Raw genomic sequence first — 26,855 nt, 5'->3', positions numbered from 1 at the left:
GAAGAATCGTTTGAACCCAAGATGTGGAGGTTGCAGTGAGCCGAGATCATGCTGCTGTACTCCAGGCTGGGCGACAGAGCGAGACTCTGACTCAAAAAAAAAAAAATTTTTCATAATATATAAAAACTGTATGAAATTCAGAATATGGGCCGGGCATGGTGGCTCACACCTGTAATCCCAGCACTTTGGGAGGCCAAGGTGGGTGGATCACAAGGTAGGAGATCAAGACCATCCTGGCTAACATGGTGAAACCCCGTCTCTACTAAAAATACAAAAAATTAGCCGGGCGTGGTGGCGGGCACCTGTGGTCCCCACTACTCCGGAGGCTGAGGCAGGAGAATGGCATGAACCTGGGAGGCGGAGGTTGCAGTGAGCCGAGATCATGCCACTGCACTCCAGCCTGGGCGACAGAGCAAGACTCTGTCTCAAAAAATAATAAATTCAAATATGGTGTCCATAAATAAGGTTTTATTGGAACACAGTCACACGCCCTCATTCATTTACATATTATCTGTGGCTTATTTTTTTGCCTTTTAGTAAATTATGGTAAGATCATACATAAAATTTACCATCTTGACCTTTTTTTTTTTTTTTTTTTTTTTTGAGATGGAGTCTCGCTCTGTCGCCCAGGCTGGAGTGCAGTGGCGCCATCTCGGTTTACTGCAACCTCTGCCTCCCAGGTTCACGCCATTCTCCTGCCTCAGCCTCCCGAGTAGCTGGGACCACAGGCATCAGCCACCACGCCCGGCTAATTTTTTATATTAGTAGAGACGGGGTTTCACCGTGTTAGCCAGGATGGTCTCAATCTCCTGACCTCGTGATCCGCCCACCTGGGCCTCCCGAAGTGCTGGGATTACAGGCATGAGCCACTGCACCTGGCCTCATCTTGACCATTTTTGAGTTTACAGTACAGTGGCATTAGGTACATTCACACTGTGCATTATCTATAGCTGCTTTTGCATTAAAATGACATAGTGAGTAGTTGGACCAGAGAGTACTATTTGCCTGTTTACAGAAAGTTTGCCCACCTTTACTCTAAAATAATAGAAATAATTTTCACAAGAAGCAAACTTACAAAAATCACAAGGCATGTTACTAGAAGGCAAAAGTGACTAGATAAATTCAATCTACTGGTGAATTTGTCTCATCAAACTTTCTTCACACACACACCCATTAGGCAAATTGAATCAACTTCTTTGTTGTGCTGGAAAAAGTAGGTACATCTTGGCCAGGCGCGGTGGCTCACGCCTGTAATCCCAGCACTTGGGGAGGCTGAGGTGAGTGGATCACCTGAGGTCAGAAGTTTGAGACCAGCTGGCCAACACAGTGAAACGCTATCTCTACTAAAAATACAAAAAATTTACTGGGCATGGTGGCGAGCGCCTGTAATCCCAGCAGGAGGCTAAGGCAGAAGAATCGCTTGAACCTGGGAGGCGGAGGTTGCGGTGAGCCGAGATCATGCCATTGCACTCCAGCCTGGGTAACAAGAATGAAACTCCATCTCAAAAAAAAAAAAAAGTAGGTACATCTTTTAGCTTGATGGATCCTAGCTCTACCTAAAGAAGTAGATGGGTTGGGTGCAGTGGCTCACGCCTCTAATCCCAGCACTTTGGGAGGCTGAAGCGGACGGATCATGAGGTTAGGAGTTCAAGACCAGCCTTCCCAACATGGTGAAACCCCGTCTCTACAAAAATTAGCTGGGCATGGTGGTGCACGTCTGTAGTCCCAGCCACTCAGGAGGCTGAGGCAGGAGAACTGTTTGAACCTGGGAGGCGTAGGTTGCAGAGAGCCGAGATCGTGCCACTGCATTCCAGCCTGGCGACAGATCAAGACTCTGTCTCAAACAAACAAAAGAAGTAGATGGTAAATATGAGGATCCTTCCACAGCTTGACTTGGATGGACAGGGCTTCTACCCTAACAGGATGGGGTCTCTAGCCTTTTTCTTTCCTACAGTTTGTTTTAATTAAGTTTCAAAGCAGGCCGGGTGCGGTGGCTCACGCCTGTAATCCCAGCACTTTGGGAAGCCGAGGTGGGTGGATCACGAAGTCAGGAGATCAAGACCATCCTGGCTAACACGGTGAAACCCCATCTCTACTAAAAATACAAAAAATTAGCCAGGCGAGGTGGCGGGCACCGGTAGTCCCAGCTACTCGGGAGGCTGAGGCAGGAGAATGGCATGAACCCGGGAGGCGGAGCTTGCAGTGAGCCAAGATGGCACCACTGCACTCCAGCCTGGGCGACAGAGCCAGACTCCGTCTCAAAAAAAAAAAAAAAAAAGAAAATAAATTTCAAAGCAATTAATAGTTTGTCACATTTGTTTATATGTTATATATCTACACACGTCACTTCACCCCTGAATACTTCAGCAAAAATCTGAGAAAAAGGACTTTTGCCTCCTACATAAACACAATTCTGTTCTATTTCAAGAAGTTTAGCATCAGGCTAGGCGCAGTGGGTCACGCCTATAACCCTGGCACTTTGGGAGGCCGAGGCGGGTGGATCACCTGAGGTCAGAAGTTCGAGACCAGGCTGACCAACACTGAGACACCCTGTCTCTATTAAAACTACAGAAATTAGCTGGGCGTAGTGGCTCATGCCTGTAATCCCAGCTATTCAGGAGGCTGAGGCAGGAGAATCGCTTGAACCTGGAAGATGGAGGTTGCAGTGAGCCAAGATTGGCCATTGCACTCCAGCCTGGGCAACAAGAGTGAAACTCCGTCTCAAAATAAAAAAAAAAAAATAATAAGTTTAGCATCAAATACATACAGTTCATATTTCTGAAGAGTCCAGGCCAGTTGTAGAATGTCCTGTAATCTGCCTGTGTCTGTTTCCTAATTATTCAAATCCAGCTAAACATTTTTGGCAAAAATACTATGTGAAATTCCAATTGTATCCCCTCAGGAGGGACATGATGTCAGTTTGTCCTCATGTCTTTTTATTACATACACCTACCAGCTGATGGAAGGCAGCATAATGTAGCAGTAAGATGAGAAAATGGGGTTTGGATTCAGACTTGGGTATAAATCCCAGTCTACTGTATAACAGTCATATGACTGTGTATATGTTGCCTACACTTCTGTCCTTTTGTTTCCTTATCTGAAAATGGGAGCCACCTCACAAGGATATAACAAGAATGAAAGGTTAGCAGATTATGTTCTATTTGTTATAATCATTTTTTTGGTTGTGCTTGGGAAAATGGCTTAAGCCTAGTCATTCTCTCCTAAGTTTTGCTAACTATCACTTCAGTTTTTCCTGGCTGTTTGTTTAACTGGATGCCAGAGAGCTTGTCCTTAGCAGCAGAGCCTATTAGTCTATAGTCACATTTTGCAGTAACATTGTTTAGTTTGCCATTTTGCTGCATTGGAGAAGTTTGGTTGAACGCCAAGTGAGATGACTCTGTGCTGGGCTTGGCCTTTGTCTTAAACGGGTTTAGTGTGTTGCTGTAAAGGGATACCTGAGGCTGGGTAACTTTTTTTTGTTTGTTTTGTTTGAGACGGCATCTCGCTCTGTCGCCCAGGCTGGAGTGCGATGGCGTGATCTCTGCTCACTGCAACCTCTGCCTCCCGAGTTCAAGCGATTCTCCTGCCTCAGCCTCCCGAGTAGCTGGGACTACAGGTGCCCGCCCCCACGCTCAGCTAATTTTTATACTTTTAATAGAGACGGGGTTTCACCATGTTGGCCAGGTTGGTCTTGATCTCTTGACCTTGTGATCCACCCGCCTCGGCCTCCCAAAGTGCTGGGATTACAGGCGTGAGCCACTGCGCCCGGCCTGGGGCTGGGTAATTTTTAAAGTAAAGGGGCTCATGCCTGTAATCCCAGTGCCTTGGGAGGCCAAGGCAGGAGGATTACTTGAGGCCAGGAGTTCGAGACCAGCCTGGGCCACATAGTGAGACCCCCATCTCTACCAAAAAAATTTTAAAAACTAGCCAGGTACAGTGGTATGTACCTATAGTCCCAGCTACTCAGAAAGGTGAGATGGACTGATTGCTTGGGCCCAGGAGTTCAAGGATACAGTGAGCTATGATCACAGCACTGTACTCCAGCTTGGGCAACAAGGCAAGACCCCATCTCTTAACAAAAAATGTTTATTAGGCCGGGCACAGTGGCTCACGCCTGTAATCCCAACACTTTGGGAGGCTGAGGCGGGCGGATCACCTGAGGTCAGGAGTTCAAGACCAGCCTGACCAACATGGAGAAACCCCATTTCTACTAGAAATACAAAATTACAGGCGTGGTGGCACATGCCTGTAATCCCAGCTACTCAGGAGGCTGAGCCAGGAGAATCGCCTGAACTGGGGAAGTGGAGGTTGGGGTGAGCCGAGATCATGCCACTGCACTCCAGCCTGGGCAATAATAGTGAAACTTGGTCTAAAAAAAAAAAACGTTTATTAGCTCACGGTTGTTTTGGTTGTACAAGAAGCATGGAACTGGCATCTACTTAGCTTCTGGTGAGGGCCTCAGGCTGCTTCCACTCATGGCGGAAGGCAGAGGGGAGCAGGCTTGAGCAGAAATCACTTGGTGAGCGAGGAAGCAAGAGGAAGGGGAGATACCAGGCTCTTTAATATCTAACTCTCTTGAGATGGTGGGGCCACCTTTTCCTGGCCAGTTTATCCTGACCTATTCTGAATCCACCAAGGCCCTGAATCTCAGCTCCATCTCCTCCTCTGCCTCCCACTATACCCCACAGACAAAGTGGTCATTCCTTTCTGAAGAACAGGCTGAGACTTTTCTGGGACCTGCTCTTTCTGGAGCCTCTGATGTTCCCTGTCTGGGTCTCCACGTGCCTCCTTCGTGGTTCTTTGAGGAATCAGCTTCAATGTCACCTCCAAGTGTGATCTTCACTGATGACACAGCTCAGCACAGACCTGCCTGCTTCTCATTTATCTCAAGTAATTAACCAACCTACACCACGTGGCTGAATTCCCTCTCTCTGCACGTGTGTTTGTGTGTGTGTGTGGTCACACCATCTTATGTGACATTAATACCTAGTTATCTATACAGATAATATATATTCACACATAAATATATATCTAAGACTATCCCTATAACTAGTAAATTTCCACTGCTATGTTTTTTTGTTTTTTGGCTCCTTGGCTAAATCCACACTTCAAGAAAGCAGAGATAGTTTTTGTTTGTTTGTTTGTTTGTTTGTTTGTTTTGAGACGGAGTCTCACTCTGTTGCCCAGGCTGGAGTGCAGTGGCACGATCTCGGCTCCCTGCAACCTCCGCCTCCTGGGTTCAAGCCATTCTCCTGCCTCAGCCTCCTGAGTAGCTGGAATTACAGGCGCACCCCACCACGTCCGGCTAATTTTGTATTTTTAGTAGAGATGGGGTTTCACCACGTTGGTCAGGCTGGTCTCAAACTCCTGACCTTGTGATCCGCCTGCCTTGGCCTCCCAAAGTGCTGGGATTACAGGCGTGAGCCACTGCGCCTGGCCGCAGAGATAGTTTTTATGGCCCACTATATATATATAATTGATATTTTTTTAAAAACCCAGCTCTCTCAGGAACTTATAGAATAAGAACTTACCACCTTCAGAGAGAGCATTAATGTATTCGTGAGGGATCCACCCCCATGACCCAGATACCTCCTATTAGGCCCCACCTCCAACACTGGGGATCAAATTTAAACATGGGGTTTGGTGGAGACAAGCCACAGCAGCCCGCCACAGCTGTGGCCATACCTTTGCATATAACTGTGAGGACAATGGTGGGTCTGGTAACCTGGGAACCCAGAAAGACCTGCAGATTCATAGGTCCTATCTAGTTATCTGTACTCTACCAATAATGAGAGAAGTTCCTTGGGCTAGAGGCCACAACCTGGTGAGACAGTGGCTTCTGAGATGGAAGAGAGCTTGAAAGGGAAGTAGCAGGATAAAAAAAAAAAATCTCTGTCCTCCATCCCTTTTAATGTTTAACCCCAGATACTTGCCTGTATGAAGGAATTCAGCTCCAGTCAACAGCAGAACCAGAATTCTCAACTGATGATGGAGATGTATCTGTCCCAGGACCAAGAAAGTTTAGGGAATAACTTAGATTTAGAGCCAGGGATAAAGAGTAACTGCCCAATGAGGGTTCCAAAAGCCAGGGTAGTAGTCCTTGCTCCTAACAGCCAATAATCTCTCCCCGAGGATTCACTACCCCCCAATAACAAAGAAATAAGACTGGGAACTGGGAGATACCTTATTTGTCATCATTAGGTTTGCAGGACCCAGCATAGCACCTGTGACACAGTAGGAGATGAATAAAGCTATGCTAAATTGAGAAGCCCCAGGCCCAGCAAGGCAGGCAGCACAAGCACTGGGTTAAGGTCTGAGTAGTAGGAGCAAGGAAGAGGGGCTTTGTGCCCTTTCTGCTGTGGCAATTCTTGCTCTGGAGACTCATCCCCTTGCAACCTAGAGTTGGTTGGGGGTATTTTTGGTGGTGGGGTGGGTATTTATTTGTCTTAGGTTCCTAGTGAACATAATTTTTTTTTTTTGAATTGTAAGTTATTTATTTTTTGAGACAGGGTCTCATTGTCATCTAAGCTGGAGTGCAGTGGTGCGATCGCAGCTCACTGCAGCTCCACCTCCTGTCAGTCAGCCTCAACTGCCTGGGCTCAGGTGATCCTACCACCTCAGACTCCCAAGTAGCTGAGACCACAGGCACACACCACCATGCCCAGCTACTTTTTCTATTTTTTTTGTGGAGACGGGGCTTTGCCATGTTGCCCAGGCTGCTCTTGAACTCCTGGCCTCAAGCGATCCACTTGTCTTGGCCTCTCAAAGTGCTGGGATGACAGGCGTGAGCCCTAGTGAACATAATTTCTTAAGTGGAAAAGGGAACTTCCCACATCCAGGCCAGGATCATTGAGTACAACTATCACAAGACCACAATTTCTTCATTAATAATGACTTTATATAATCTCTAAGAGCTCTTCCAGGCCGGGTGCGGTGGCTCACACCTGTAATCCCAGCACTTTGGGAGGCCGAGGAGGGCGGATCACGAGGTCAGGAGATTGAGACCATCCTGGCTAATATGGTGAGACCCCGTCTCTACTAAAAATACAAAAAAAAATTAGCCAGGTGTGGTGGCGGGCGCATGTAGTCCCAGCTACTCAGGAGGCTGAAGCAGGAGAACGGTGTGAACCTGGGAGGTAGGGCATGCAGTGAGCCAAGATCGCGCCACTGCACTCCAGCCTGGGCGACAGAGCAAGACTCTGTCTCAAAAAAAAAAAAAAAAAAAAAGATCTCTTCCAGCCCCAAAGTTCTATGATACTAGTTAACTAAAAGAGGGGAAATAGGATATTAATTCAACAAATACTTATTACTATAACCTTATGCTAAAAAGTGAATAAGGTCTGCCCTTGGGGAGTGTAAAGTCAAATGAGAGAATAAACACTAAATCCTTGTAATGCTGTATAAGGGTTGTGTAAATAATAGCATATATTTCTTGAACACTTACTATTTGCCAGGTGTCATTCTAAACACTTTACAACTGAACTTCACAATTCCACTTCCATTAGATGGGTTTTCTTATCTCCACTTAGCTAAAGAAACTGAGACATAAAGAGGTTTAATAATTTGCCAGTAGGTAACAGAGCAAATAATTTGGCTTCAGGGTCTATGTTCAATCAGTCAGCAGTTAACAGCATTATTGATGGAAGATTGGGAGGAGTGTGCATGAAGGCTGTCACACTTTTGCTACAAGTTCCTAGTGATCTTGTGACATTAAGTGGGTTTAGGTCGGGGTTCCCAAGCCCCAGGCCATGGATGGATACTGGTCCATGAGTGAGCAAAGCTTCATCTGTATTTACAGTGGCTCCCCATTGCTCACATTACCACCTGAGCTCCGTCCGCCTCCTGTCAGATAAGCCGTGGCATTAGAGTCATATAGCAGCATGAACCCTATTGTGAACCACACATGCAAGGGATCTAGGTTGTGGGCTCCTTATGAGAATCTAATGCCTGATGATCTGTCATTGTCTCCCATCACACCCAGATGGGACCGTCTAGTTGCAGGAAAACAAGCTTGGGGCTCCTACTGATTCTAAGTTGAGTTGTATAATTATTTCATTATATATTGTAATGTAATAATAAAGTGCACAATAAATGTGCTTGAATCATCCCAAAACCAGCCCCCGCATTTCCACCCCGTGGAAAAACTGTCTTCCACAAAACCAACCCCTAGTGCCAAAAAGGCTGGAGACTGCTGGTTTAAATCACATTTTCTTTGGCCCTTGGTGATGTCCACATCAGCATAACCAGGAGAAAACCACTTCGTTGTTTTTTTGTTGGTTTTTTTTTTTTTTTTTTTTGGCTGGGGGGTGGTTGGTTGGTTGTTTTTGAGACAGCGTCTTGCTCTGTTGCCTAGGCTGGAGTGCAGTGGCCTGATCTCGGCTCACTGCAACCTCCGCCTCCTGGGTTCAAGCGATTCTCCTGCCTCAGCCCCTGAATAGCTAGGATTATAGGCACCCGCCACCACGCCCGGCTAATTTTGTATTTTCAGTAGAGATGGGGTTTCACCATGTTGGCCAAGCTGGTCTTGAACTCCCTACCTCGGGTGATCCGCCTGCCTCAGCCTCCCAAAGTGCTGGGATTACAGATGTGAGCCACTGTGCCCGGCCAGAAAACTACTTCTTTGGAGTCCACAGGCAACTGGGTACAAATTCCAGGTTTATCACTTAACTGGTAAACTTGACCAAGTCTAAGCTTCATTTGTTTAACAAGAATAACTATTGGCTTCATTGGGAGGTTATAACCATTAAATACTAAGTTGAGCTATATGAACCTGCTGTTTCTGGAGGCAAAAACAGTCTAACATCATGGGGAGTGGGGGGAATCTACCAAAATGGTAAGGATTCCTTTGTGCTTTTGATTTTTGAAAACTTCAGCCCTAAATTCTTCCTTTTCACCTCTCTTGCCCAAGGCATAGTGCCACCCAACGGTCTGCGTGGCCCTGGGAGCTCGGAGGTTGCACACTGTTGACCTACCCTATTGAAGCCAGTAAGTTAGTCAAGGGACAGCCTCATGAGATTTGGGAGTTCTACAAGGATCTGGAGTTTCTTTCCAGCCAGTCACAAGCACATCCCTTGGGGGCTAGAGAAGTCAAGAGCCCTGACACATAGCCTACCACACACAGACTCAGAGTGCACTTTCACCCTCCTTTTCAACGCCTATTTGCCTCACTGTACAATGAGTAGTGACATTGGCTCTATTTTTAAATGTGGAAACTGAGGCCTAGAGAGGGTCAGGTCCTGTCCAATGTCACAGGCACCAATTGGTGTTGGAAAGAAGGTGGGGTTTGGCGTCAGATGGATCAGCGCAAGCACTGCCTCTAGATGTGTCACCTTCACAAGGTTCTTTAACTTCTGGGGCCTGTTTCTTTTGCTAGAAAAGGTCGCTGATAACGCTTGTCCTCATATGACTCTTCAACCCAAGTCTGCTCTCTGGCAGCCCCACATGTGGGGAGACCCCCAAGGAGACACTGCGAGAAGCACAGAGTGCGGCGCGCCAGGACTCAAACCGTGGGCACCCGACCGACGCACACGCGCAGCCCCACGACAGTATCAGTATTTAATTTCCACTAGAGACAGAACTAAGCCTAACCATCACCAGGCTCAAGCCGCCTACCCCAAAACCGAGAACGGAACTGCCCGGTCCCCCCGAAAAGAAGGGCGGAACATTTCGGCCAAGTCCTCAGACTACCGAACCGGAGAGCTCCGAAAGGGGACTACCTGCGCCTGCGCACCGCCATCTTGTTAAAAGAGCCCGCCTCTCCCTCGGCCGGTCACTCTTTCGCCACGGGCGGGGTTGCACCATCCGGCAGGGCGGGGCCCGGCCATGGCGACCGCGGAGCCCAGCGGGCGCGCGTTGCGGTTGTCTACCCCGGGACCCCGGCCCAGCGGGGCTCGGGACCGCGCGCCGGGAGCTGCGGGGCCACCCTCCGGGCAGATCGGTAATAGAGCCCTCCGTCTGGGGGAGCGCACCCCCGCGGCCGTGGAAAAGCGGGGGCCATACATGGTGACGCGCGCACCCTCCATTCAAGCCAAGCTGCGTGAGTGTGGCCCGATGGTCGGGGGAGGTTTCTCCCTGGGCGGGCGGCCGCGTCCCCAGGGCGGGTTCCGGAGCTCCGCTGGGCCTCGGCCCCGGAGGGAAGGGGTTAGCTGCAGCCTGCTCTCGCCCCTCAAAATCCGTTCGGAAAGAGCGGCCTCCCAGCCTTCGGGAGACGCGGCGGAGTGGGGAAGACCCGGCTGACCCGGGTCCTTTAACTTCCAGAGAAGCACCGGGACCTGGCCAAGGCCGTTCTGCGGAGAAAAGGCATGCTGGGGGCCTCGCCGAACCGCCCAGACTCTTCAGGGAAAAGGTCTCAGCAGGCGCCACCTCCTCTGTGCCAGCAGCTTTAGAGAAGGCTTTAATCCCCAGGACGGAGGCAGGGTGCTCTGGTTTAAGGCCGAGCTAGCGATTCCCCTGATGCAACCTGTCAGGTTCACTATCTTTAAAATGGGAAGAGGAACAATCTCTCTTTTCCTTTAAGGATGTGATAGGATCAGATAAAGGGCTTCGGAATAAGGGAGTTCTGTGAGTGCACAGGCTCATTCACTATCATTCTCCTCCTCTGTTAGGGAGGAGAATGGTGGCTGGAGTCCCCAGCAATGAGGACGAAGAGCAGTGTGGGAATGGCTAGACCTGTTTTTGTTTGTTTGTTTTTAACAGAATAGTAAACTCGGAGCTGCATAGAACCTTATTCAGTGCCTCCTTTTACAGATGAGGGTTGAAACTCGGAGAAGTGAAGGTTAACCCTAACCTTTTACCCAAAGACTTGCAGTTTTTGTGTCCTCTGATTAAATAAGTGGGGAGAGGGTGCTTTTCCTAGATCAGGCAAGGGGAGGTGTGCTTTTTTCCAAGACCTATGGGAGGAGTAGAATACAGGCCGGGCGTGGTGGCTCACGACTGTAATTCCAGCACTTTGGGAAGCCGAGGCGGGTGGATCACTTGAAGTCAGGAGTTCGAGACCAGCCTGGCCAACATGGTGAAAGCCCGTCTCTATTAAAAATACAAAATTAGCTGGGCACGCCTGTAGTCCCAGCTACTCAAGAGGCTGAGGCAGGAAAATCACTTGAGCATGGTAGGCGGAGATTGCAGTGAGCCGAGATCGCGCCACTGCACTGCAGCCTGGGTGACAGGGCCAGACTCTGTCTCCAAAAAAAGAAAAAAAGAATGAGAACATACACATTCTGAGGCACTGTAGCCAGGTACATGGAGCTGCAGGCAGTGGTGGCTGTGACCAGGGAGAAGGCAAGTCAGTAGTGCAGTCAATTCTTTCTCCTTCAGGGCGAGGACTCTGCCTATCCCTGTGAAATGCCTATGCTTTCATCTATGTTTGGTCTCTTCTCCCCCGTCTCCCCTCAGGTCAGTGAAGTTTAACAAGGGCTATACTGCTCTTAGCCAGAGTCCAGATGAAAACCTGGTGTCCCTCGACTCTGACAGGTGAGTGCTCCCCTTGGAAATACCCCCTTGGGAAGCAACTTGGCTGGGACTGAAGATCGCCTGATGCCTTTGCTTGTTCCCTGTCTCCTCCAAGGCCCTTCATGTACATTCCAGGGCCGTTCTCTTCTGAACAATATCCCTTCCCAGGATGGCTTGGTTAGAAGACTCATAGGTAATCGTGCTGCTCTAGAATTCGGAGCACCAATGTCCGGGGGATCATCCTGCCCTGTTATGTTTGCATTGTTAGTGAGAGTGACCCTGTCCCTGCCAGAACCAATTGAGGGAACCAGTATTATTCAAGGCCTGTTCGGACTTGAGTTCTGTTGTGTGTGGCCTTTGCTTCAAAAGTCTTCCAGATGCCCTTGCATGCTCTCCGCCTGATGATTTACAGCTGTGCACCACAGGTACCTCCCGGAACTGACTGTTTTCCTCTTCTCCTAGTGATGGGGAGCTGGGATCCAGATACTCCTCCGGGTATTCATCTGCAGAGGCAAGTCCAGAACACCTTTCTGTGCAGGGCCAGGCTGCAGGCAGCATTACCACCACTGCCAAATGCTTGTTTGGTGCCCGCTGTGAGCACAGCACTGTGCCAGACTTCTGGTCTGTTCTACGATCTTCCACTCTGCCCTCTTCCCCCGGTGGAGGTATAGGTGACCAAGGAGGGCTGTTGAGAATCGAGGAGACCATTTAGACTCAGGGCTAGAAATGATCTCAGAAGTCATGTAAGCTGGGCATGGTGGTACATGCCTGTAGTCCCAGCTACTAGGGAGGCTGAGGCAGGAGGATTGCTTGAGCCCAGGAGTTCCAAGACCAGCCTGGACAATATAGCAAGACCCTGTCTCTAAAATAAGACTCTAAAATAAAAGTCTTCTAGGCCACAGCTTACAAAAGGAACCCTTTTGATAGATCCCAGCTAAGTGTTTGCTAGTCTGTGCTTACTTGAATGCTTTTTGTAATTGGGTACTGACCACCTCCAAGGAGCCTTGCTACCCACCCTTCCCTCAACACACACAGAATTTTTTCTTTGAGTAGCTGTTAGAGAAATCTTCCTTATTAATCTGAATGGGTCCATTGGTCCTTGACCTGCTTTCCAGTGTCACACAGCAACTCTAGTTTCTCTGAGATCAGCATTTCCGTCTCTCCCCTGCCCATCTTTCACCAAGCTTGCTTTCTTCCAGACCAAACAACTTCTGTTTCTTCAGTTGTTCCATCTATGAAAACTCAGGCTAAAACACTCCTGGGATAGCCATGTAGACATTTTTCTAGAGTGACTGTCCCAGATAGAAAAACAGGGATGTAAAATCCTGGCAAGTGAAGCCCATTCCCTTTGACAGAGGTGAAGTGCTGGGGACCTGACTCTACACCACTTGCTTTTCTTACTCTCCTGGAAATCTTGGCTAATCTCTGAGTTTCTGTCACAGAGAATAGAGCAGTTTGCAAATTTTGTCCTCCTTAAATGTCTGAGTGTCAAAGATTGTGTGTAAGAGGAAGTCTTACACTTTCCCCAGCCTCATTTATTTTTCTTTTTCTTTTTTTTTTTTTTTTTTTTTTTTGAGACAGAGTCTCACTCTGTGGCCCAGGCTGGAGTGCAGTGGCATGATCTCAGCTCACTGGAAGCTCCGCCTCCCAGGTTCACGCCATTCTCCTGCCTCAGCCTCCCGAGTAGCTGGGACTACAGGCGCCCGCCGTCACGCCTGGCTAATTTTTTCTATTTTTTAGTAGAGATGGGGTTTCACCATGTTAGCCAGGATGGTCTCGATCTCCTGACCTCGTGATCCACCTGCCTCGGCCTCCCAAAATGCTGAGATTACAGGCGTGAGCCACCACGCCCAGCCTTATTTTTCTTATGTTCAGTGAACTGATGAAACCAACCAACAAATTCCACTTTGCAGGAACCCACCTCTGTTGGCATCAAAGGATAAGTCTAACCAGCAGTGTGTAGACAAAGCTGCTCACCACCCCCTTCCACTGTAACCCATGCTCTACTACGCTAGCCCATTGTTCTGTTATTATCCCATATTCTTCAGCTTTGATAGGGACTAGTCTGGGCTCCCAGTGGGAACTGTCAGAGCACTGATTTTCAAACATATTGGGAACTCGATATTTACATGAATGCCTCAGGATTTAGTGAGAACAGATCCCTGGGGGTCAGTGACAGTGAAGTCTGGACAGTACTAAGGCTTACTGCTGGCTGAGGCACAAGTAGGAGAAGGTGGTACTTCCTCCTGTAGTCCAGGGATGTGTGGGGTTGGCCTGGGGTGGGACATGGACAGGAAGCCCTGGTAACGGAATGTGGTTCTGTCTTTTGGGTAGCAGTTACTTCTGCTTTGCATCTTGGCCTATAGTTCCCTCCTCTCCTTCTCTTAGCAGGTGAACCAGGATGTGAGCCGGCAGCTGCTTCAGGATGGGTATCACCTGGATGAGATTCCAGATGACGAGGACTTGGACCTCATCCCCCCTAAGCCCATGGCCTCTTCAACATGCTCCTGCTGCTGGTGCTGTCTTGGGGACTCTTCTTCCTGTACCCTCCAGTAGACATTACCCTCCAAGGTGGGCCCTGCTCACCATGAGGCCTACAGAGCCCTGTTGGCCACTCATAGCTCACACAGTGCAGTGAGCACTGAAGTCACTGACCCCTAGAAAGTGACCTGCAGGTAGCCCTTACCTGTTGCTTCTCAGGCCAGAGGCCCCCATCTGGGCTGTGGGCTGATAGGTAGAATTCTGTAGTTTTCCTCTGCTGTTGGAGCAGAGTTTGGAGAAGTCACTTTAATAAGGGCAAGACAGAAAATTCTGGTTCTTATGGTGGGTGACAAAGGTGGCTAAGGAAAACACTTGCAGACAGCTTGATTGGTATTTGTCATAGTGCTTCAGGGAGGCAAAAAGGGAGCTCTTGTGCCCAGGCTGTGCTAGATAGTGTTGAATGGAGGCAGAAAATAGCACTTTATGGTTTATTATAGCTGGCAATCCAAAAAAGAAACTGTTTGAGACCAGTTCGAGAAATTCCGTTTGCTCTATTCTTCCTAGCTCTAAGATGGTTTGCAGGCTTGACCTTCAAGACAGCATAAAGTGAGTCCTTTTGTCCCTCTTCAGGTTGCACCTGTCTAACTATGACAGGGATCATAGCAGGTTGCTTAATGATACAGCAGGATCCTGGCTTCCAGAATCCCTGGACCTGGGGCATCCCCAACTGGTCCAACCGTCCGGGTGAGTTTAGTGATTCTGGTTTGCCCTTCCCTAGTTAGAGAAAAACTGCTCTGACATGTTCATATTTATTTATTTGTATTTCCTTGGTCTGGGTGAGTTTCTTCACCCAGTCTTTGAGCTAAAGATTAGGTCGAAGGTACTGGGGCTGGCCCCAGAAGCCTGCAGTTTTTATTATTACCAGCAGAGGGAGCTACAGGGAGCAGTCCGGTGCCTTCCTATTGTTTACTTTTTAAACTTTTGAGAAGTAGCAATGGACTCGTGAGAGTGGGTATACAGCTGTGTGGGCTTTGTCCTAGACTGAGGCTTACAGACAGGAAGGGTAAGAGAGACCTAAGCCAGCTCCTAGACCCTTGCCTGAGGAAATCAGTCCACCAGTGTAGAGGGCCTCCCTTCACTCCAGCATGGACCATTCTATTGCCAGATTCTTCTGGTCACAGCATGGGCCTTACTGGATACTCAGGATTGGGCTTTAAGCAGACCTCTGGGTGTGACACAGCCTCTTTCAGCCCCCAGCCCAAACAGCAGAAATAGGCATAATTTCTGCTGTGACACCCCCTACCCACAAATTGGAGAGTATATCTTGCTATACTCTATACCAAGCCTCTTTCTAGAATTTTTCCAACAGGTTTTGTTTTGTTTTTTGGCTTAACTCAGAACCATGGTGAGCGTTCTGCTTTGTTTTGTTGGAGACAGGGTCTCTGTCACCCAGGCTGGAGTGCAGTGGTGTAATCACAGCTCACTGCAGCCTCAACCTCCCAGGCCCAAGCAGTCCTCCCACATGGTGAGCTTTGAATGGGCATAGACAGGGTTCCCAGCCCAATAGTCGGGATTGGGGTATAGGTTCTACATGGGAAAGTATCCAGTCTCTTGCTTTACTCAGTGTCCTGTGACCACCAGAGGCATGAGAGGGACAACACACTCTTTTCGCTCTACCACAAGGGGTGACTAGAAGATGAGCAAGTCTAATAAAAAGATACGGCCTTATTTGTTATTTGTCTGACAACCATCCTTACGATGGTAATCCTGTGAGTGCCTGATGGACATCTATCTTTGTGTTTTTCTCAAACCATGGAAGGTTGAGAGGAATATACAGTATCTGGGGGCTGACTTACTCTACTAGCTAGGAGCATCACAGCAGAGAGATAGGACAGAGACCAGAGTCATGCCAGCTTGGGGTCTTGGGAAGAGAGGCAGATGGTTACTCTGTTCTGGAATGGGACTCTGCAGCTCTATGCAGTGGCCAACATTCTGAGCACTTTGTGCAAATGCTTGTAGAGCTCAAGAACATCTCCATCCAGAACCCCTTCCCCATCTGCAGAGACCATGTCCAGGCCTTTCTTGTGTCTGCAGAGGTGAAGTGCACATGTGGAAAGGGATCAAATGTAGCACAGTGTAAAGAAAGACAGCAACACAGGTAGAGGGACCCAGTGTGTGCTGGGAGGTGGCTGTGGAAGGTAAGTATAGACCTACATCTCTGTTGGGGAGGTGGTCAGGGCAGAATGGCCTGGGTGTTTAGCAGCTTCTAGGGGTGAGGGTGGCAGGACCCCAAAACCAAGGCCCTCTGCATCGTTGTTGTAATAATCAGCTCTGGCATATTCAGCTGCAACTGTCCCTGAAGAAGAGGTTTCTGAGCTGGCTGACCCCATGTAGGAGGGTGTTACCTTGTAGAAAAAGCTGGAGGGACCTGGTGGGACAGTGCAGTGAGGCAGGGTAGAAATGGTCAGTTGTTTAGGGCCAGTGGCCACATACCAAAATACCACCAATGTGCCCAGGGCCAAACTGCCTTAATTCTGAGTGCTGTGTGTTCTGCAGGTGACAGTTTCCTGAGGAGAGGGGTGTATCCAGGCTTACCTCCCAGCAGGAGTGGTACCATATGGTGTTTATGTACTACTCTATAGAACTCTTGGCTTGCACTTCTACAGCTCTGTACATTTATAAGAATAAATGCAATCACACTAGTTGAGCTGTGTCTGTGTTGCAGTGGATTTTAAAGGCCTTGGCCAGGCACAATGGCTCATGCTTGTAATCCCAGCACTTTCAGAGGCTGAGGCAAGCAAATCACAAGGTCAGGAGTTTGAGACCAACCTGACCTTACCTGGAATTGTAGATCCTGTCACCCCGTCTCTACTGAAACCCCGTCTCTACTAAAAATACAAAAACTTAGCTGGGTGTGGTGGCAGGCGCCTGTAGTCCCAGCTACTCAGGAGCTGAGGCAGAAGAATCGCTTGAACCCAGTGGGCGGAGGTTGCAGTGAGCTATCGCGCCACTGCACTCCAGCCCGGGAGACAGTGCGAGACTCCGTCTCAAAAAAATAAAAGTTAAGAATATCCTGGATATCCTGAAATGAAGAAATAGCTTAACAGCTGACTACAGCAATTCCTTCTGGAAACTCCCTCCCCTTTCTGCTGTTCCCACTGGGCATCACTTTCGGGCCTGTTTCACTGGACGGCATGAGTGAAATAGGCTCTTGCAAGTCACTTCTGTAGAATGGGTTCCCTTTAGCAGACCTTTTCTTTCCAGCTCATCTTTATTGTTTTTTAGCTGAAGAAAATTTGGAGGCAAGAAAACCCAGGAGATTTTTGAAGGTGGTTTCCTGGAACTCCATTGTATAGGGACTCTAGTGTGGGCAGAAGCCCAGAAAGATTCTTTTGCATGAATTTAAACCTTTATCCCACAGGAAGGAGCCAGTGGACTAAGTGATTAGTCTGTGGTGACAGGATCTACGATTGCAGGTCAGAAACCTCAGCAGCAGCAGACAGCCGACAGCCTCTTGCAGGTGTGTGCCACCCCTGGAGCAGGGCATCAGGAGATTCCCTCCTTCACACTTCCTGCCCGTTTAGGAAAGCTAACTGGGCTTCTCCTCGCCATGAAAATTGTCTAATTCGGTTCCTGAGTCCCTGTAATCTGCAACAGTTGAGTATGTTGTAGAGAAGTGGTTGACAGTCAATGGTTTCAGTTTTGCAGGCCGTACAGTCTAGTGCAACTCTTCAACTTTGCCACTGTGGCTTGAAAGCAGCCAGACAGTATGGAAATGAACAGGTATGGCCAGAACTGGCCTGCCAGCCTGGTTTGCGGACCCCTCCTCTAGGGCCAGTTGAAAAACAGGAGCCGGGCCAGGCGTGGTGGCTCACGCCTGTAATCCCAGCACTTTGGGAGGCTGAGGTGGGCGGATCACGAGGTCAGAAGATCGAGACCATCCTGGCTAACACAGTGAAACCCCATCTCTACTAAAAATACCAAAAAAATTGGCTGGGCGTGGTGGTGGGCGCCTGTGGTCCCAGCTACTTGGGAGGCTGAGGCAGAAGAGTGGCGTGAACCCGGGAGGCGGAGCTTGCAATGAGCCGAGATCGTGCCACTGCACTCCAGCCTGGGCTACAGACCGAGACTCCGTCTCAAAAAAAAAAAAAAGAGAAAAACAGGAGCGAAGAGTCTTGCACTGGTGACTGGTGTATCCTTTGAGTCACCTTCTCTGTAGGGCTGCTTGCAAGCTGTGCCTCTGGGCAGACCCAAGGCCTGCTTGCAAGCTGTGCCTGTGAGGCCAAAGCTGGCTTCCTCTCCCACTCCTTCCCATACCGGTGTTCTGGAGTGTAGCCTGCTCACTCCCCCGAGAAGCTGTATGAAATAGGAATAAAGCAAAAACTGGGGCATCATGTAGGGAGGGCTCTTTTGGCCCACTTTAGGAACAGGTACCCCAAAGGCTGAGTGCTCATTACCCCACAGCCTCAACACAAGTGATCTTTAATTGCTTTGACAGAACAAGGGTGTAAACAGCGTTAGTCTACAGGCCTACCCTTTCCCTTTCCTCCTCTGCAGCTGAGGAAATGGGCAGTCCCATCGCTAGAACCCTGTTCTTAGAAATTACCTGGTCTCTTGCTCTGACAGATGCTGAGCTAATGCTGGGTCACATATTTAACAGCTAGCCTAAAGCCATAGGCTGGAACAGAGTTGGCAAGAGCCTGGCTCAGGTGTAGCGAGGAGTAGAGAGGGAAGACAAAGGGAGTATCAGACCCCTCACACGGGCCTCTCCTCCCCAAAGATGGTTCCACCTGGGTGTGTTCAGGAGTCACTACCTTCACGCTCCCTCCTCCCCCACCCCAGCTCTTCCAGGGTATACCTAAGGGGTCCAGAGCAAGGAAGGGGGCTTGAGCTGGGCCCGAGGAGGTGAGGTTGGCTGGAATTTAGGGTGGCTGGCAGAGGAGAGCTGGGGAGGCTGCAGCCTTTACAGCAGACAGCAGGCACGGAATATCAGCAGGTCCTTCGGCTCAGTAAGCTTCAGTGAGACACTCTCATTGGCCCCAATGAAGAGCACGCCACCACGTTGCAGAGGGATTGGTGTCTGGGTTGTGGGTGTGCTGGCTATTACTGTCCCCTGTACCATCAGGAGGATGCTGGCAGAGTCCAGTGCCAAGACCTTGTATTCAGTGACAGAGCCAGGGACCTGGGCAGGAAGAAATGATAAGGCAGTGCAGCTCAGACTCTGCTCTCATCAGCTCATGGGCCCAGGACAGTCCCCAGGGCACGAGGGAGAGCTCTGCCACCTTCTCGCACAACCCAGGCTCAGTCAGCATAGAGGCCTGGTCCCTGGTACAGGAAGGAATGGGCAGGCCCTGGGGCCACCCTCCGCCAAGTGGGCTTGACAGGAAACCCAGCCCCAGGTGTCCTCCACATCGTGACCCTTGCCAGAGATTTTCATGGCACACGAAGGACACCCATCATAGCCCCTCACTCACCTCCGTCTTCATAATGGTGAAGTCTGGTACAGGGGGGTCATAGATTGAGAGGTAGGGGTCTTCCTGACTCCGTGTTGGGAGAAAGAGCCTGTCCTTGCTGGAGCTAGGGGTATAGCTGAGCATTTCACACAGGGTTGGCACATCAATGAACTTGGGTGTCAGGCCAGCACGAACTGTGTTGTCTGAACACGCCATGCACTCCACGCAGTCTGGAGAGACAGTCGTCATGTGCTAAGCTGATGAAGTATGCCTTAGCTCTCCAGTTCTGGGCCTCCTAACCTGAGCTCCATGAACCCCATGCCAAGTTAGGTAAAAATTTCCATGAATTGTATTCTCTGGGAGAATGGGGTTAAGATATCAAATACCAAAAACAGGTGACAGGTCACCCATTATTGTCAGAGGGGAGTCATGTTAACCCCTGGGGGTTGGGGAGCCCCAACTCTGTAGTCTCCCACTTCTACCCCAGAATCCTGTGCATGAGGCATGTGTGGATAAGCAGCCAACAGTCGAAAGGTGGCATCCTTCCATGGCAACATGCATATTTTAGTGTAAAAATCCCTGGTAGGTAGGACAGACATACAAAGGCTGTGACAGAACAACAGCTTTGATCCAATATAGCCTGCGTTCAAATTGTGGTTCCCACACTGACTGGCAGGACTTAAAATCAGAGTAGCATGGCATCACAGGGTTGGTGTCAGGATTCAAGGCGTGTTCAATGCTAAATGCATTCATCATCCCTACCAGCTGTTGCTTGCTGAGCCCAGGAACCCTCAGAGGTCAGAGCTGCAAGGTCCTTGGGGGTCTCCTTGACCACCCTTCTCCTTCCTTTGTCCAGATAGGGAAACAGGGCCCAGCAGGGATGGCAGTGGGGCTCACTGCTGAAATGTGGCTCACCTCCTTTCAGGTAGGCATGGGGTACGTTGGCCTCCAGAAACATGGCCTCCCCAGGCTTCAGGGTAAGCAGGTTCAGGAAGTAGATGGCAAAGCAGCCGATATCACCTGGGTACTGCTGGTGCAGCTGTAGCAAAAGCTCCCCAAAGATGTCCTCCATGTTGTTTCCGGCAGCCGCTGAGGGTCACAGAGCACCCCAAGGTCACTTAGGGGGATACTCAGTGCTGTTCATAGCCCCACATTGGCCAGGGAGTCCTAGGAAAAGGTCCCTGCCACAGGAATCCAGAAGCCAAAGTGGCCCTGTCCTTCTGGCCACGCCTCCAGCCCTTTGGGGGTCGAGCCTTGCTTGATACTCCAGTCCATACAAATACCATCTTTCATCATATCTTGACTATTCATATGCCCAGGACTATACTAGCCACTAAAAGAGCTAGAGTATGGTCCTTTCAGGATGGGATTTCTCAGCCTTGGCGCTACTGACATTTGGGCTAGGTAATTCTTTATTGTGGGGGCTGTCCTGTGTACTGATGGATGTGTAGCAGCTTCCCTGGCCTCCACCCACAAGATGCCACTAGCAACCCCTATCTGGGTTTTGACAATCAAAAAATGGCTCCAGACAACAGCCAAATGTCCCCTGTATGAGAACCACTGCCCTTGGAGCTCAAAATCTAGGGAGATAACGCAAAAGAGTTTCATGAAGGGTAACCAACATGCCCGAGCTTTCCCTTTTTTTTTTTTGAGACGGGGTCTCGCTGTCACCCAGGCTGGAGTGCAGTGGCACGATCATACCTCACTGCAGCCTCAACTGTCCAGGACCAAGCAATCCTCCTACCTCAGCCTCCTGAGTAGCGAGAACCACACGTGCATGCCACCATGCCCGGCTAAGTTTTTTATTATTTGCAGAGAGAGGGGGTCGCTATATTGCCCAGGCTGGTCTCGAACTCCTGAACTCAAGGGATCCTCCCACCTAGGCCTCCCAAAGTGCTGGGAATACAGGTGTGAGCCACCGCACCCGGCGACTTTCTAGTTTTTAGCACTGAAAGTTCTGTGTCTCAGCTGGGCGCGGTGGCTCACACCTGTCATCTCAGGACTTTGGGAGGCCAAGGCAGGCGGATCACGAGGTCAGGAGTTCGAGACCAGTTTGACCAACATGGTGAAACCCCATCTCTACTAAAAATACAAAAAAAAAAAAAAAAAAAGCCAGGTGTGGTGGCACGTGCCTGTAATCCCAGCTACTCGGGAGGCTGAGACAGGAGAATCGCTTGAACCCGGGAGGCGGAGGTTGCAGTGATCGAGATTGCACCACTGCACTCCAGCCTGGGTGACACAGCGAGACTCCGTCTCAAAAAAAAAAAAGAAAGTTCTATGTCTCAGAGAATCTCTCTCGGTCTGCTCCAGAGAGCATGAGGCAGAATGCGCTGAGGGCCAAAATGTGTCCTGGAAACGACAAGGGAAAATGAGCTCAGCCTGGGTAGAGTGGCAAGGGTGGACTTCTTTAATTTTTAAATTTTTTTTCTTTTTCTTTTTCTTTTTTTTTTTTCCGAATCGGAGTCTTGCTCTGTCTCCCAGGCTGAAGTGCAGTGGTGCAATCTAGACTCACTGCAACCTCCACCTCCTGGGTTCAAGTGATTCTTGCGCCTCAGCCTCCTGAGTAGCTGGGATTACAGGCACACACCACCATGCCCAGCATTTTTTTTTTTTTTTTGAGACAGAGTCTCACTCTATTGCCCCGGCTGAAGTGCAGTGGCATGATCTAGGCTCACCACAACCTCTGCCTCGCCTGGCTAATTTTTGTATCTTTAGTAGAGATGGGGTTCCACCATGTTGGCCAGGCTGGTCTTGAATTCCTGACCTCAAGTGATACGGCCGCCTCAACCTCCCAAAGTGTTAGGATTACAGGTGTGAGCCACCGTGCCCAGCCAGGCTTCTTTAAAGTGAGGCAAGGGGCCTGGCGTGGTGGCTCACACCTGTAATCCTAGCACTTTGGGAGGCTGAGGCAGGTGAATTGCCTGAGCTCAGGAGTTCGAGACCCGCCTAGGCAACATGGTGAAACTCCGTCTCTACTAAAATATAAAAACTTAACCAGATGTGGTGGCACATGCCTGTAATCCCAGCTACTCAGGAGGCTGAAGCAGGAGAATTGCTTGAACCCGGGAGGCAGAGGCTGCAGTGAGCCAAGATCGCACCACTGCACTCCAGCCTGGGGCAACAGAAAGAGACCACACACACACACACACACACACACACACACACACACACACACACACACACACACACACACACACACACTGAACAGAAAAAAATATGCTTGGGTCAAATAAATAATGCCCTAAGGCTCAAAGGTAATGGGAAACCTGTAGAGGTAAAATAAAAAGAGAGCTCTGGGCCACCTAGAGAAGGGGTTGTGGCTGCCAGGCTAAGAAGCTGAGACCTCATCGCCTGCACCACATAAGCTCATTGCTGGGAGTCTGTTCTGTTTTGGGTTTCTTACTGCTTGTGTTGACTCCCCACCTTTAGGGTGACAGTGACCACACCCATCACAGTCATTTCCTGAACTCTTCTTAGCACAAGGTTGGGCACACAGAAGGTAAAGGAAAGATCAAATGACTGAGTGCTGGAGGCATCAGTCCTTTCCAGGAGAGGGAGGATGCTCGTGTCCCCTTCCTGCCTCTTTAGCCCCGAGATACAAGTCCATCCATGGAGGGCAGCTGCAGGGCTAGGGAAAATCTCAGAATGCCTAGGTGGAAGGCATCCTAAGAGTCCTCTATGCCAGTCTGCCTCCAACCATCTGGAGAAGATGACCAGTTGGGAAGCAGCACTCAACTAAGAAGGGCCCTGCTCCACAAAGACTAGGCAAGCAATGCTAAGTTGCCAACAGGTCATCTAAGTGGGGCCCCTTTTAGTGTTCCACTTGGGCAAGGGGGTTGAGAACTGTCCCCAGAGTCTGGTGTCTGCTGGGAAGCCCAGGCCAGAGCATTGCACCCAACCAGGAATATAACTGTGTCCACCTTGCTGGGAGATCCGCTTCACCAACAGGTTGAGCTGTTCCACCACCACCTTCTTCTCACTCTTCATCAGGTGGGAGAAACAGCTCTGCAGAGAGGAGGCCACAGCCTGGGAGTCATGGCTCATGGTCTGCTTCAGGTGTGTTGCTGCCTCATCTCCAATCAGGAACTGAAACTCAGGCACCTCTACAGGAAGGCAAGGCCCAGGGCCCATATCAGGAATGGTAAGATGGAACCCACACAAGTGGGGAGTTGGAGGACACCTTTCCATCCCAGCCCTAACCAAAGAGCCGGCAATGCTAAGTAAACTTTGCAGTGGAAACCAATCACTCACCACCAGCCCTTGACTACCACACCTGAGCCTGGTCTCACTGGCCTGGCTCACTGGCTCCAAAAACTGCTTCATGAGGCCCTTCAGTTCCTGTGACATGTGACCCGTTCTCAGCCACTGTTCCTATCATCTTGGTTCCCCAGGTATCCCTGGCCCAGTACGCATGCCTTCAGCATTCTGCCCAACTTACTCTTTAGAAAGGTTACAATCTCCTCAACTGGCCGGAAGCCACACAAGCCCTGGAAGGGGGTGAGGGCAATGGCCATCTCTGGCTTGTGGTTGGCATCGGGGTAGTGCTGCGGAGCCTGGAGGTGCAGCTTCTCTGCCAGCTCCTGTGGGGTGGCCAGGGGAAGAGGAGGATGGTGAGGGTACAGCCATTACCTAGCAGGTACACCAGTGCCACCTAGCCCCTGCTGTCCACCCTCCCCAGTTGCAGGATGGCAGTGACTACCTACCTCTGGCAAGGAGCCCAGTCAAAGCATGTTGCAGAAACTTGGGGCTCAGCCAACCCAGGGCAGGGGCAAATCAGGGGCAACCCCGGGGCAAATCAGGGAAAAGCTGGGGCAGACTTTAAGAGGCTTGGCCTGTGAATCAGGAAACCCAAATACCAGACCAAGCTCTGACACTAACAAGCTGTGTGGCTTTGGTAAATCCCTCCCTTCTCTGGGTCTTACTTTGTGTATCTAGAAATAAGGAGTTTTGGCTGGGCATGGTGGCTCACGCCTGTAATCCCAGCACTTTGGGAGGCTGAGGCGAGCGGATTACGAGGGCAGGAGTTCAAGACCAGCCTGGCCAACATGGTGAAACCCCATCTCTACTAAAAATACAAAAATTAGCTGGGTGTGGTGGCGCGTGCCTGTAGTCCCAGCTATTTGCGAGGCTGAAGCAGAAGAATTGCTTGAATTGGGAGGAGGAGGTTGCAGTGAGCCGAGATCGCGCCACTGCACTCCAGCCTGGGCGACAGAGCAAGACTCAAGTCTCAGAAAAAAAAAAAAAGGAGTTTTGATCCACAGTTGCTTAGGATGGGACTCCGGCTTGTGTAGGGAGACTCCATGGGGGTGGGGCTGAGGGTACCTGCCCTGCCTTGCAAGTTGAACTCTTCCTGAAAGCAGATGAGTAAATGGCAGATATGAATAGACATGGGTTGGATGAGGGAAGACCAGGAACAAGCCCCTTGGAATGAGCTTAGAGAAACTCCCCTGGCACAGGCCGGTGAGCTGTTTGCTTAGACTTAGTTGCTGCATGTGTCACTACCATCTGGCTTTGCAGAGCTAAATTGGGAGTTGTCAGCCTGGATTTGGCCTTGGGCAGGAGCCTGGCATGGGTGGGGTAAAAGTGGCAGTAAAAGTCACGGGAGGGCCTTAGCATAAGCCCTTCTGTACCCTGACCTCTGCACCGCACTCTGTCCTTTACCTTGTTAGGGTGTGCCTGGATGGACAGGGGTGTTTCAACTGAGAGCACTTTGAAGAGGAAGGGCAGGTTGCCATTAAAGGTGTCCTTGACCTTTGAGCCCAAGCTGTCCTGGTTCTCAGCAATCCACTGGCTTAGGGTCTTCTGTGAGATGCGGTTGTCAAGGATCTTGGCATCCCCTCGGGGGTGAGTCCCCATCCACAACTGGAAAGACAGGAAACTTGGGAGGGGAAGGGGGAAGAAACCTGCCACCCTGAGTTGGCCTGTCCCAATCCGTTATGCTGTGCTCCCCACAGGGCAACTGAGTCCTGGGAAAGGCCTCCCAGGTCTGGATACAAATGTTCATGCCATCATGGACATACAGGGAGGCAGTAGACCCAGGCCCTTGTCCAGACTCGGCCTCTAGCCATCTATGAAGACTTGGACTAGTTATTTCCCTTCTTTAGATGTATCTTCTTTGTCTGTCCAAAGAGGAGAATGACATCTGCACTGTCAAGGTAGCAGAAAAACTATGACTCTTAAATGATTCTTTCAGGGGTTAACATACATCTTCCAGTTTCAGAAGCAGAGGCGAAAGCCTTCCTATGCTTTGGCTTTTTCTCCACTAAATAGGCAGGAGAAATATTTTAGGTTAATAAAAATGCAAAAAAATAGTCAAAGTAAAAAAACTTAATTGTCAAAGAGGGCTGAATTAAAATTCACTAAGTGCTAAGAGTGGTTGGGGGAAGGAGAGTGCTGGAAATCCCAGCCTATTATGACAAAACCTCTCTTCTTTTTGATAACACTATCTAGTCCATTAGCCTGAAGAGCCAAGTGGGTCTCCTCCCTCCTTGCTGCCTCACCCTTCCCAGCTGATTCTTATGACTTGCCTCAGGCCCTTTCTCCTGACCTGCGGGTAAAGTGGGCTGAAATACAGCCCGGGGCTCACCTCTGCATAAGGCTTGTCCTCTGCGATCTGGGCCAGTGGATCACTGCTGGCCAACAGCCGCGCCACTTCGCTGTTGGAACCCATCTTCCCCCAGGCATACTGCTGCACCGCACAGGAAAGTGGGAATACTAGGGGCACAGACAGGGTCAGCTGCCACTCCACTCCTCAGGCCCCACCCTAGTGTCCCGGGAAACCAGGCAAGAGCTGGGGGTGCTCACTGGGGACAGAGTCAAATAAGGGTTTTGTAGGCTGTTGGATGAGACCCCCCTCCGCTGCAGGCCTCGATGTTCCCAACTGTCAGATGGGCAGCAGTAAGGACCTTGTGCTGATCTGAGGCAGGGTGGCGGGGAGGGAGCAGAAGGTACCTATCCCACGGCACGACGTCTAGAAGGGCCCCCTCCCCTCGGAGGTCAATCCCCATCGCAGGTGGCCACACCTCTGCCCGGCACCCACCCATCTTTCCGCGGAATGCCAGGAGCGGACTCAACCTGGCCGATAATGCCGGGAGTCGTCCCCAGGACGCGCTCCACGAACACACTCGCCGACACCCCAGCCAATGGCTCACCTCGCGGAGCGGCCATGCTCGCCCCCTGCACCAGGATTAAGCACGTATGCCTTTCCCGGCAGCCCCCGCGGCCCTCTGCGCCCAGAGCTTCACGGGAAATGTAGTTCCCTGAGCGTTCCGCCAGGCCCCGGGGCACCCGTGCCCAGAGGCTTACGGCCGCGATCTTCGGTCTCACTATTCATTCATTCTTTCCATCGCCGGGCACAGATGTACTGAAAACCTGCTAAGTACCACGGACTGTTCTAAGGGCTGGAGGATACATCAGAGAGCAAGATAGCCTTCCCTCTGCCTTTGTAGAGCGCTTACATTCTGGTGAAGGCAA

The 26,855-nt window shown here is 50.2% G+C and overlaps 2 protein-coding genes across 32 annotated transcripts, besides 10 other annotated features; one reads left to right on the top strand and one right to left on the bottom strand.

Annotated features, from left to right (window-relative positions):
- Positions 9,430-9,709: an enhancer, noted in NCBI's record as "active region_9818". NCBI's record gives its function as "activates an Ori minimal core promoter by ATAC-STARR-seq in GM12878 lymphoblastoid cells {active_cell/tissue: GM12878}" and the evidence as "EXISTENCE:reporter gene assay evidence [ECO:0000049][PMID:35858748]".
- Positions 9,430-10,355: a biological region, named in NCBI's record as "H3K27ac hESC enhancer GRCh37_chr15:75198609-75199413".
- Positions 9,551-10,355: an enhancer, noted in NCBI's record as "H3K27ac hESC enhancer chr15:75198609-75199413 (GRCh37/hg19 assembly coordinates)". NCBI's record gives its function as "activates a minimal SCP1, AML or CMV promoter by ChIP-STARR-seq in naive H9 embryonic stem cells {active_cell/tissue: H9 hESC(naive)}" and the evidence as "EXISTENCE:reporter gene assay evidence [ECO:0000049][PMID:30033119]".
- Positions 9,770-10,069: a silencer, noted in NCBI's record as "silent region_6660". NCBI's record gives its function as "represses an Ori minimal core promoter by ATAC-STARR-seq in GM12878 lymphoblastoid cells {active_cell/tissue: GM12878}" and the evidence as "EXISTENCE:reporter gene assay evidence [ECO:0000049][PMID:35858748]".
- FAM219B (family with sequence similarity 219 member B) lies at positions 9,772-18,660 on the top strand. Of its 25 annotated transcripts, none has more exons than XR_007064481.1 (7): positions 9,772-10,036; positions 10,258-10,345; positions 11,392-11,469; positions 11,911-11,959; positions 13,840-14,019; positions 14,560-14,673; positions 16,486-16,631. XR_007064481.1 is itself a non-coding variant. In XM_017022433.3 (6 exons), exons 1-5 carry the CDS (start codon positions 9,823-9,825, stop codon positions 14,002-14,004), a joined length of 594 nt encoding a protein of 197 aa, XP_016877922.1. In that variant the 5' UTR covers positions 9,772-9,822; the 3' UTR covers positions 14,005-14,019; positions 17,351-18,660. The 25 variants fall into 25 exon arrangements, 8 of the variants coding, with proteins under 8 accessions (XP_016877922.1, XP_047288839.1, XP_047288840.1 ...); XR_243118.5 differs by having other exon boundaries at positions 13,837-14,019; NR_135853.2 differs by adding an exon at positions 11,584-11,641 and having other exon boundaries at positions 13,837-14,019; positions 14,560-16,631.
- Positions 10,356-11,162: an enhancer, noted in NCBI's record as "H3K27ac hESC enhancer chr15:75197802-75198608 (GRCh37/hg19 assembly coordinates)". NCBI's record gives its function as "activates a minimal SCP1, AML or CMV promoter by ChIP-STARR-seq in naive H9 embryonic stem cells {active_cell/tissue: H9 hESC(naive)}" and the evidence as "EXISTENCE:reporter gene assay evidence [ECO:0000049][PMID:30033119]".
- Positions 14,404-26,581, bottom strand: MPI (mannose phosphate isomerase). 7 transcript variants are annotated; one of them, XM_047432536.1, is made up of 8 exons: positions 26,422-26,581; positions 25,969-26,096; positions 25,044-25,244; positions 23,821-23,962; positions 23,303-23,485; positions 20,298-20,471; positions 19,404-19,612; positions 14,404-19,111 (listed from the first exon to the last, which is right to left on the bottom strand). In XM_047432536.1, exons 1-8 carry the CDS (start codon positions 26,423-26,425, stop codon positions 18,893-18,895), a joined length of 1,260 nt encoding a protein of 419 aa, XP_047288492.1. In that variant the 5' UTR covers positions 26,426-26,581; the 3' UTR covers positions 14,404-18,892. The 7 variants fall into 7 exon arrangements, with proteins under 7 accessions (XP_047288492.1, NP_001317301.1, NP_002426.1 ...); NM_001330372.2 differs by having other exon boundaries at positions 25,969-26,185; positions 26,534-26,581; NM_002435.3 differs by having other exon boundaries at positions 26,534-26,581.
- Positions 17,412-17,911: an enhancer, noted in NCBI's record as "H3K4me1 hESC enhancer chr15:75191053-75191552 (GRCh37/hg19 assembly coordinates)". NCBI's record gives its function as "activates a minimal SCP1, AML or CMV promoter by ChIP-STARR-seq in naive H9 embryonic stem cells {active_cell/tissue: H9 hESC(naive)}" and the evidence as "EXISTENCE:reporter gene assay evidence [ECO:0000049][PMID:30033119]".
- Positions 26,132-26,665: an enhancer, noted in NCBI's record as "H3K27ac-H3K4me1 hESC enhancer chr15:75182299-75182832 (GRCh37/hg19 assembly coordinates)". NCBI's record gives its function as "activates a minimal SCP1, AML or CMV promoter by ChIP-STARR-seq in naive and primed H9 embryonic stem cells {active_cell/tissue: H9 hESC(naive and primed)}" and the evidence as "EXISTENCE:reporter gene assay evidence [ECO:0000049][PMID:30033119]".
- Positions 26,132-26,754: a biological region, named in NCBI's record as "H3K27ac-H3K4me1 hESC enhancer GRCh37_chr15:75182299-75182832".
- Positions 26,255-26,334: an enhancer, noted in NCBI's record as "active region_9817". NCBI's record gives its function as "activates an Ori minimal core promoter by ATAC-STARR-seq in GM12878 lymphoblastoid cells {active_cell/tissue: GM12878}" and the evidence as "EXISTENCE:reporter gene assay evidence [ECO:0000049][PMID:35858748]".
- Positions 26,455-26,754: an enhancer, noted in NCBI's record as "active region_9816". NCBI's record gives its function as "activates an Ori minimal core promoter by ATAC-STARR-seq in GM12878 lymphoblastoid cells {active_cell/tissue: GM12878}" and the evidence as "EXISTENCE:reporter gene assay evidence [ECO:0000049][PMID:35858748]".

This window comes from Homo sapiens, chromosome 15 (assembly GCF_000001405.40).
Source record: "Homo sapiens chromosome 15, GRCh38.p14 Primary Assembly".
Classification (NCBI taxonomy): Eukaryota; Metazoa; Chordata; class Mammalia; order Primates; family Hominidae; genus Homo; species Homo sapiens.
Note: the sequence above shows the minus strand (reverse complement) of the source record. Positions and strands in the feature narration are given on the sequence as shown.